At 42.6% G+C, this 9781-nt stretch overlaps 1 protein-coding gene and 1 long non-coding RNA gene across 6 annotated transcripts in view, besides 2 other annotated features; both read left to right on the top strand.

Moving 5' to 3' along the window:
* Positions 4600-5749: a silencer, noted in NCBI's record as "silent region_1031". NCBI's record gives its function as "represses an Ori minimal core promoter by ATAC-STARR-seq in GM12878 lymphoblastoid cells {active_cell/tissue: GM12878}" and the evidence as "EXISTENCE:reporter gene assay evidence [ECO:0000049][PMID:35858748]".
* Positions 5488-9781, top strand: part of SYDE2 (synapse defective Rho GTPase homolog 2) — a 48526-nt gene continuing 44232 nt past the window's right edge. For all 5 annotated transcript variants that reach the window (XM_017002483.2, NM_032184.2, XM_017002484.3 and 2 more), the window contains exon 1: positions 5488-6252. In XM_017002483.2, coding sequence (XP_016857972.2) covers positions 5508-6252 — 745 coding nt within the window. In that variant the 5' untranslated portion in view covers positions 5488-5507. The remainder of the gene's footprint in view (positions 6253-9781) is intronic.
* Positions 5762-6373: an enhancer, noted in NCBI's record as "H3K27ac hESC enhancer chr1:85665814-85666425 (GRCh37/hg19 assembly coordinates)". NCBI's record gives its function as "activates a minimal SCP1, AML or CMV promoter by ChIP-STARR-seq in primed H9 embryonic stem cells {active_cell/tissue: H9 hESC(primed)}" and the evidence as "EXISTENCE:reporter gene assay evidence [ECO:0000049][PMID:30033119]".
* LOC124904207 (uncharacterized) lies at positions 6262-8868 on the top strand. The gene is made up of 2 exons (XR_007066199.1): positions 6262-6353; positions 6465-8868. It is a non-coding gene; the product is annotated as an uncharacterized LOC124904207 (long non-coding RNA).

Here is a 9781-nt window from a genome sequence, read left to right as displayed (position 1 = left end):
AAGGCAGCCTACACTTTCCCTTTTCTCACTGCCTATTTACTTTTGAAACAGGCTTATCTGAGTGTATATTTTGTCTTTTATGTATTTAAAGCTCGTCCTACGTTTGAAACCAGAGTACATTTCAGGATGCACTTTTGCATTGTGGTGTAATATGAATAGATTTATCACTAAATGGAAATATAGGATTTAGTTCTAACACCCTTGAGTTGGACTGTACTGAGAAGCATTCAAATGTTTAACAAGCAGCTTCCCAACGTTCAGATGCATTTCACAAAAGTTCATAAACTATTAAACTCTTTTCTGAAAGGTGACCAACTAAATAATTTATAAAAACAAAGGTTCAAGCCAGTGCAAGGATTATTACATCAACTGTCTAGTCTCTTTTTCTATTCAAAGAAATAACACAGGAGTGTAGTGCCTATGGAATCAGACAGATGGGATTTGAATTCTTCTTATTACGCTGAGCTTGGGCAAGTTGTTCTATATATCCCAAGTATATTAATATAATAAGAGATTCTGAAATATCAGTGACTATTCTAAAGCATACATTTCTAAAACATCACAAAATACACATGCACTTAACAAAAGTTCTTTTTTACTACTTTGTTTTTGTTTCCCTTTTTTTTTTTTTTTTTTGTTGAGACAGAGTCTCGCTCTGTCACCCAGGCTGGAGTGCAGTGGCACGATCTCGGCTGCAAACTCTGCCTCCCAGGTTCACGCCATTCTCCTGCCTCAGCCTCCCAACTAGCTGGGACTACAGGCACCCGCCACCATGCTCAGCTAATTGTTTTTGTATTTTTAGTAAAGACAGGGTTTCACCGTATTAACCAGGATGGTCTCGATCTCCTGACCTCGTGATCCGCCCGCCTGGGCCTCCCAAAGTGCTGGAATTACAGGCGTGAGCCGCTGCACCCGGCCTTTGTTTGCATTTTGAGGCAGAGTGTTGTTCTGTCACCCAGGCTGCAGTGCAGTGGCACCATCTAGGCTCACTGCAACCTCTACTTCCTGGGCTCAAGTGAATCTCATGCCTCAGCCTCCCAAGTAGCTGGGATTACAGGCGTGAGCCATCACACCCAGCTAATTTTTGTATTTGTAGTAGAGATACAGTTTCTATGTTGGCCCGGATGGTCTTGAACCCCCAGCTTCAAGTGATCTGCCCACCTTAGCCTCCCAAAGTGCTGGGATTACAGGCGTGAGTCACCAGGCCCAGCCTATCTTTTTTATTACTTTGATGGGGGTGGGGATGGGTTAAGCAATATTGCAAATTGCCAGATATTAATTATGAAATAGTACAAATTGCTGTACTGAGAATATGCCATCTTTGATTCTCAGTGCAGTGTTAGCGTGGTCAGCTTTAGGCTGAAGTATATTTTACTCCATACTAACGGAGTTGCATGGCAGACGAGGGAGGTCTACTCCAGGACATCCCTGTAAGGCAGTTTAGGGAGACAATACTGGACAAATGGTAGAGCTAAATTTGCCTTTGGTTCCACTAAGAGTATAATGGAAGACTGAACATCAGTGAGACAGAAATGCACTCTAAATTGACTAGAAAATAACCATAACATACCTAAACACTTCCCTTCTATTACTGTTAAACCTAGCCCTCTGCCTCAACTTGCCCTGCTTTTCTCCCCCTCCTCCCAGATTGAGTCAGTGCTACTCCATCCCTAGTTTGGATCCCTGCCTTACTGGAGCCCTGTTATCCCGTAGTTGTTATATCTTTTGTGACAGTGCCAACACATAGTTAGTAATAGATGGGGCATCAAAATTATTTCCCAGTCACTGAGAAACAAGTATAAACACTGAAAAATGATTCCCATCCCCTAATTTTCATGGGAATCTATGGATTAGAAAGATATGAAAATTGAGATAAGTGAGGGAATAGGATACAAATTGTAAAAAAAGATTTTACAAAGTATAGTTTATGTTCATATCTTGTCATTATCTTAATTATATTAGGCATAATATAAGTTTTGTGGGCATTGTCTCTTTAGAATTACATTTTTACCAACTTTTTATTGATGTGTAATGCACATACAGAAAAGTGGAATTTACATTATTAAGGTCTTTAAATAGTGTCATATGGCCATGACTGCCTTATTAATTTCTGTTGTGACACAAAATGATTAAAATTGTGAATTCATGAGTTAGAACATTCTCAACTTTAAAGAAGCATTAAGTTCAGTCGTGGTATGCTGCATCAAACTTAGTTCTGAGTAACGCCTAGAACAATGCATAGTATTTTATATTGGCCAATAACCAATGTTTTATAACTCCTGAACAAGTGGATAAACTGAATTCGGGATGAAGTTCAATCCAGATCTTCAAGGTTATATTTTTCTACTCATATATATCTATCTGCATATAGATATATATGCAGCTTATAGTGTTCTTAACAGCTATGTTAACTACAAAGCATAAAAAGATTTTGCAACAGAGTTGGAATGGAAACAATTTCTGAGATAGAGATCAAATTGTGTTTATAGAACCATTATTGGCAACTTTGCTATCAGTCATTTCCTGTGGGAATATTTCACTGGGACATAGTTTTATGCCTTGACTATTCATTAAATAGCCTGGGGCCCATGGAATGAAAATATTGTAGAACTACAAATATCAATATATGCAAATTATAGTGTAATATTTCATCACATTTCATTGCATTTTCTTAGATACGAATTAAGATTATTTAACAAACTGTGTCTCTTACTCATCGCAGAAAGAATTTTAAAACAACACTAATATAGCATGGTCTAGTGGAGAGTTAGGCAATAGACTGGAATTAAAGCCACTTGTTCTCTCTAAATTAAAATTGATATTAATTCAAAAATGTTTATTCATCATGCACAATATATAAGATGCTAAAGTTATACTCCTGTGGAGAATATAAAGGTCAATTATAAACAGTTTCTGCCCTTAGGGAGTTTATGAATTTTCTTGTAAAGGAGAAAGGACATGTATACAAACTGTATAAAACAAAAAACAGTAACTATACTATGGGTGGGAATAAAGTAATATTGAAGTTTAGAACTTGAGTTCCCGTCTGGGAGATCAGAGATGACTTCATAAACAAGAAGGCAGTTGAGCTGAGTTTTATTATTTTATTCTTATTATTTTGAGACAGAATCTCCCTCAGTCATCCAGGTTGGAATGAAGTGTCATGATCTCGGTTCATTGCAGCTTCAGCCTCACAGGCTCAAGTGATCCTCCCACCGCGGCCTCTAGAGTAGCTAGGACTACAGGTGCACACCACCACATCTAGCCAATTTTTTTTGTGTTTTTTTTTTTGTTTGTTTTTGTTCCTCGTAGAGACCAGGTTGTGCCATGTTGTCCAGGCTGGTCTTGAACTCCTGGGCTCAAGCAATCTGCCCATCTCAGCCTCTCAAAGTGCTAAGATTACAGGCATGAGCCACCCCGCCTGGCCTAGAGCAGAGTTTTAGAGAGTGGGTAAGATTTCTGCAAATATTCTCTCTTATCTGCAAATCTCAGATGCAGGTAACAATTATTCCAGAAAGCAGAGACTAGGTACTAATAAAGGTAGTATAGTCAAAGCACATTCAGAGATTGGAGCCACTGGACAACAAGAAAACAACTGACATAGGAAAATATACTGCAGTTGCAAATAAGGTAAATTAGGGCAAAATTATTTCATTTTATTCAGTAATGCAAACATTTATTTATTCAACAAATATTTTCTTAAGTATTTGAGTATCTACTAAGTGCACGCACTGTGCTAGGTGTCAGCATATTTATGAGTAACTCAGAAAAAGGCCCTTTCTACTATGTAAACACTAAAAAAAGTAACTCAAATCAGGGATGATAGCACGACTGATTCTTATCAGTCACTGAATCAATTAATCTCTGGCAACGAGGGGTACTTGAGTTTGCAACTGCTGCCCAGAACCTGGAATTTAACGTTTTTGGGAGACAGCCGGTATTTCTAGATTACACTGTGTCTCAACTTCAATTCAATTGCTTCTCAACTCACTATTTAAATTAAAATGAAGTGTTAACTTTTTTATATTAGAAAGCTGCAAACCTGTATGATAATCTTGTAGGTAGGGTGATGAGGGACATAATATTTGTGGCTCCATTTTACAAGTTTTGGCTGATGTAATAATTTTGTTAGCATGCATTAACTGAAATAAAGAAGGAAAAACAGACTTAAAAGAGACATCGGTGGGTGGGTTTTGTTTTGTTTTTGATAAAAGAACTCTTATAGAAAAGGAATCGCTGCAAATTTCTTTTAGCTAGCTAGCTCTCTGGGCGATTAAAATGATTGATACATTTCTAGAACACATGCACCGAGATACACCTGCACTCGTACTTTGTCCGTCAAAACAATCTTTGTTTTCTCTCAAGCTAGGACTTGCTGTGCCTAAGACACACCTCGTGCAGCGGTGGCGGTGAAGGTGCTGGGGTGACAGCCAGGAGGGCACTTTCCCTTTCTCGGGCTCCCTAACCAAAACTTTGCAGCCACCAGCCCAAACTCACGTTCCTGCTCGTTCTTCTTTCCCCTGCCTCAACTCTCCCCGCACCCTTCGCGCTCTGTGCGCCCACCCCTGCTTCCGTCGGTCAGCTTCAGCCGACCTACTACTCAACCTACCGGCCCGCGCCCTCCGCCTCCACCTGCACCACTCGCCCACCCCGAGAACCCACCTCTGCCGCCCCCGGCCCGCGCGCCCCGTCGCGGCCCGGGGCTCCGGGGCATGCGCGTTGCGGCGCCACCGCCCTCCCCCACGCCTTCCCGCGGCAGAGTTATGCCAAGTATGTGAGGAGCCGGCGAGGGCCAGCGCCGGTCATGGGGAGCCGCCGCCGCCTCCGCCTCCGCCTCCGCGAGCGCGGTTTTCTCCCCAGCGGGGCTCCGACCTCTCCCCCTGGCGGGGGTGAGCCTCGCGGCTAAGGCAGAGGGGATGGCGGACCCTCTGAGGAGGACGCTGTCCAGGCTCCGGGGAAGGCGGGGTCCCCGCGGCACCGGGGGGCTAGGGCTCCGGGCGGCAGCCGCAGCTGCGGTGGCGGCCTCTTCGGCAGCCGCGGGAGACGCCTGGGGTGCCGCAGACACCCTCCCACGTGAGCACGCCGGGGGACACGGGCGGAGCCTACAGCAGCCCTCGCCGTCACCTGAGGCGTGGGGTCCCGGGGCGCGGGTCCCCGGAGGGCACCCGGAGCAGTTGGGGGCGCTCGGGCCTCGGCCGCGCGGCGGGCAGGAGGCCGCCCCCCAGAGCCATGGGCTCGCTCACGCCCCTCCGCACTCCCCGGAGGGCTCCGAGGACAGCGGAGAGGAGGAGGAAGACGACAAGGACGAAGACGACTACGACGCCGACTACTACGAAAACCTGCCCGGCGGCTCGCAGTCTGCGCCCGAGCCTGAGGGGGCGGAGGCGGAACGGCGTCCCCCGCCTCCCCCAGCGGCGGGCTCCTCCCTGGGGGCGGAGGGCGGCCGCCTGGAGACAGGCAGGCTGCGGACCCAGTTGCGAGAGGCCTATTATCTGCTGATCCAGGCCATGCACGACCTGCCCCCTGACTCGGGCGCGCGGCGGGGCGGCAGGGGCTTGGCGGATCACAGCTTCCCCGCGGGAGCCCGGGCTCCGGGCCAGCCGCCTTCCCGCGGCGCCGCGTACCGCCGAGCCTGCCCCCGGGACGGGGAGCGGGGAGGCGGCGGACGCCCTCGGCAGCAGGTGTCCCCGCCCCGGTCGCCTCAGAGGGAGCCGCGGGGAGGCCAGCTGCGGACTCCTCGGATGCGGCCGTCCTGCAGCAGAAGCCTCGAGAGCCTCCGGGTGGGTGCCAAGCCGCCTCCCTTCCAGCGGTGGCCGAGCGACAGCTGGATCAGGTGCGGCGCGCACCGGGACTGGGACGAGCCCCCGCCACGTGGAGGCAGGATGGACGGCTGGAGTGGGGACCGCGCCCGGGCGGCTGCACCCACCGGCCTCCAGCCTCCAGGCTGCAAGGACCACGGCTGCTCCTCGGGAAGCCCTTTCAGGGATCCAGCGGGGTCCTCTGTGATACGCAGTGGCAAAGGAGACCGCCAGGAAGGCCCCTCCTTCCTCAGGCCGCCGGCAGTGACAGTCAAGAAGCTGCAGAAGTGGATGTACAAAGGGCGTCTGCTGTCCCTGGGAATGAAGGGTCGTGCCCGTGGGACGGCTCCCAAAGTCACAGGAACGCAGGCAGCCTCCCCAAATGTGGGCGCTTTGAAAGTGCGTGAAAACCGTGTCCTGTCGGTGCCTCCAGACCAAAGAATTACGCTGACAGGTAGGATACTTTGCGATGAAAATGCTAGCACCGCGAGCCTTACTGTTTACCGACTGGGCTTCTGTCTTAAGAGCCAAGAAAAAGTTATGTTTTTGCGACAGGTACGTTACCGGGCGAAAGTAAGTGTCATGTAAGTGGCAGCTTAAAGTAATTTCGGGGTTACTTAATGTAATGCATTTACTCGTTTTGCTTTTTTTTTTCTTTTTAATCAGACAATGGCATGAAGAATTGAGGTTGTGATTTCTTCTCGAAAAACCAGTGTGTCTATTCCCTAAGTATTACCTAAAGGAGTAAAGGTTAAGTATAACACACTTTTAGTAGGTTTACAGATGGGCGGCACTGTCTTGATTTTTATTCTTTGTAGCTCTAGGCAAATCCGTAGACTTTTGTGGAGTTTGTAAATTTGAATTTGATTCAAGGTAGATTTTATAGGCTTCATAAACTGTCATTTTACTCATTACAACTTTTTTTTTTTGCCTCTCCCAGGCACGCACACACATGCATACATACACACAACCAAAAACCCAAACAAATCAAACAAAAAAAACCCTACCATAAGTAGAATTTTTTAGTCAGGTAGTATTTCACATACACCATCTCTCCACCTGCCTCCCCCCGACAAAGAAACCTCAACAAAGTAATCTTTTTATTGTGAAAAATCAAGGACACTAACATTTTAATCAAAAGAAAAATGTTCCTCAGGTAGTTTTGTTTTTAAAGCAGTCATTTGCAAACTTAAATCCTATTTATAAGAGAAGTAAATTAGTTTTTTAAAAAGTATATTGATCCTTATAATAGGATTAAGCTCCCTATTTTGTATGTGCATGATTTTTAACTATCACTGAAGGTTTAGGTTATCAATTCTAGAAACCAGTCAATTATGTTGTAAATATCAAAATATCTTTCCTGAAAGGAGTATAATATCTTCAAAGTGAGCCAAAACAACATGGTCTTTTGAATACTCTTACATATAAAAATTTTTAGTGATCATAAAGACTTATAAGTCAGGAATAATTTGGAAAACATTAAATCCTGAAATGTAAAAGGTATTCACAGTACTTGGCGGTTTCTCTGGTAGTAATTATAAATCCTACAGGACTGGATTTATACACATTAACTTTGTTTAACCAATAAACACACAACAGTGGGGAGAAACAAAGTTCACAAAACTTCTTATCAAACAATGAAGACAAATCAAATGATTCATTCAAAGTGTGTGCCAACTTGCAAAGTTTTTTCCTGTCTATACGGCTCTAATACACACCTGTCAAATTTTATTCTCAAGGTTAAATATTCCATTTCACTTGAACAAAAGGATAATAGAATGTAAATTCTTTGTTGAGAGGTGTACTTTATACTAAGTTCATATTAAACATGCATTTCCAGGAGTAATTTGTAATCATTTATTATATTTTATTGCCACAATATTTTTACCTCCCCCCCTTTGGCTTAGTTTTAACTCTTGGTACCATAGTTGAATTTCAGCCATAACAAAAAATAGTCAAATATTTTTCACCCTTTTGTCACAGAGCTAAAACACTTACCATGTGATGGCTTTTAATGCCCTCAGTAGTAAACATTCAAGGATTTTTAAAGTAATAAATATAGTTCCTTTAAGAATGAATTTGATTTTTGCATTAAGCAACTAATTAAATGAAACTGCTAACTTAGAAATTAAAATGAAACAATTATTATGTGATAATATTTTAGATATTTTATGAGAAATCTAAGCCAAAGCTACCATAATCTCTGGTTTAAACAACTCTCAGATGTTACTTCCTTTTAAACCACTAATTCATTTTTCAGGAGAGATGAAAATAATTTGTGCAGTGTTTACATATCTAGTATAGATTTGGAGAGCTTTTTAAAAAAATTATTTTTCATGAAGTTTAGTTGGTCTTACTAAGTCCATTCTGGATACATTAGGTGGTTCTCATACAATTTTTATAGCCCCCAAAATGGAGATATGCTGTCATTTAACAACAGCTACAAGAAAAAGAACAGAGGGATTAAGCAGTTTGCCCAAGATCACTCAGTTGGTACCTGTGTATGGATTCAAACTACTATGTGGATTCAAACCCAAGGCGTCATGAGTTTGAAAAAAGCCCCTGTTTACATAAGATCAGAGACTCTAGAGTTCTTTAAAGGTCTGATCCAATTAATTCTATTAAATTGCTTGGATTGAGGATATGGGTGAATTTCAACAAGGCATAGCGGGGTAAGTAACTTCCTCAAAGTTGCAAAGAAGATGGGAGAATCTTAGGCCGGGTTTAAAGACATTTTAAAAAGTAATTGCTGGGCCGGGCGCAGTGGCTCATGCCTGTAATCCCAGCACTTTGGGAGGCCGAGGCGGGCGGATCACGAGGTCAGGAGATCGAGACCATCCTGGCTAATACTGTGAAACCCCGTCTCTACTAAGAATACAAAAAATTAGCCGGGCGTGGTGGTGGGTGCCTGTAGTCCCAGCTACTCGGGAGGCTGAGGCAGGAGAATGGCGTGAACCTGGGAGGCGGAGCTTGCAGTGAGCCAAGATCGTGTCACTGCACTCTAGCCTGGGAGACAGAGTGAGACTCCGTCTCAAAAAAATAAATAAATAAATAAATAAAATTTAAAAAAGCATTTGCTGTATTCATTTTAAACTTTTACCTTTAAATATTTACTTACTTGAAATTGATGTCACTTGACTTCTACTTTTAAATCATGTTTTCTGCAAAACTTATTTGGAGCGGTCTAGATGAACCAGTACATTCTTGTTTATGTAAAGATGTTAAATATCCTAAAAGGTTTATAGCACATTTTTCTGTACAGTATTATTCATAAGATATTTTGTCAAAATTACATTTAGAATTTGTAATACAGAATAATTATTCAGTGGAATGGAGATACTTCATATAGGTATTGTGAAAATTTTTGAGACTATATGACAAATGGAAACACAAATGATTTTCTATTTTGATTTCTGGCTCCTACTAAGAACTTTTGATAGTATTATAATGACAAATGATTTGATGCAGTTAAGTATGTAGTGTTCGCAGATTGGCCGAATTGTTCCTAATTGAGATGATTATTTCAGAAATCTAAAGTCATTACACATAATAAAAATTGTCAAGTTTCTGCAAGCCTTAAGATTACAAAGGAATCTTAATGTGTTTGCCAACTATACATCATTATAAATCTTTATAAATAAGTTTTAATTAGCATATAGTTTTCAGAAACAAATTCAAAAGCACCTTTTATTGCTTTAAAAAATAATTAGCCTACTTTGACTCCACTTTTCCTGCTACATGGTCTGGGAAAGAAAAAACTTTAGACTGTATAACTTAGTATTTTGTCTAAAATTTTTAGACAATTATTTTAAGGTAGTATTAATTAGTTTGGTATGATCTTTAACCATCTTAAAGTGAAGTTGACACTATGACTTGATTCCCATCTACTTTTCTCAAGTATTTGTAACTCTGATTTTTTATCTTTATGAATTGCATAATCTTTATGAATTTTTCCAACAATTTTTTTCTGTATTTGCCCTTTT

This window comes from Homo sapiens, chromosome 1, assembly GCF_000001405.40.
Source record: "Homo sapiens chromosome 1, GRCh38.p14 Primary Assembly".
NCBI classification, from domain to species: Eukaryota; Metazoa; Chordata; class Mammalia; order Primates; family Hominidae; genus Homo; species Homo sapiens.
The sequence above is the reverse complement of the archived record's forward strand: the minus strand, read 5'-3'. Positions and strand labels throughout refer to the sequence as shown.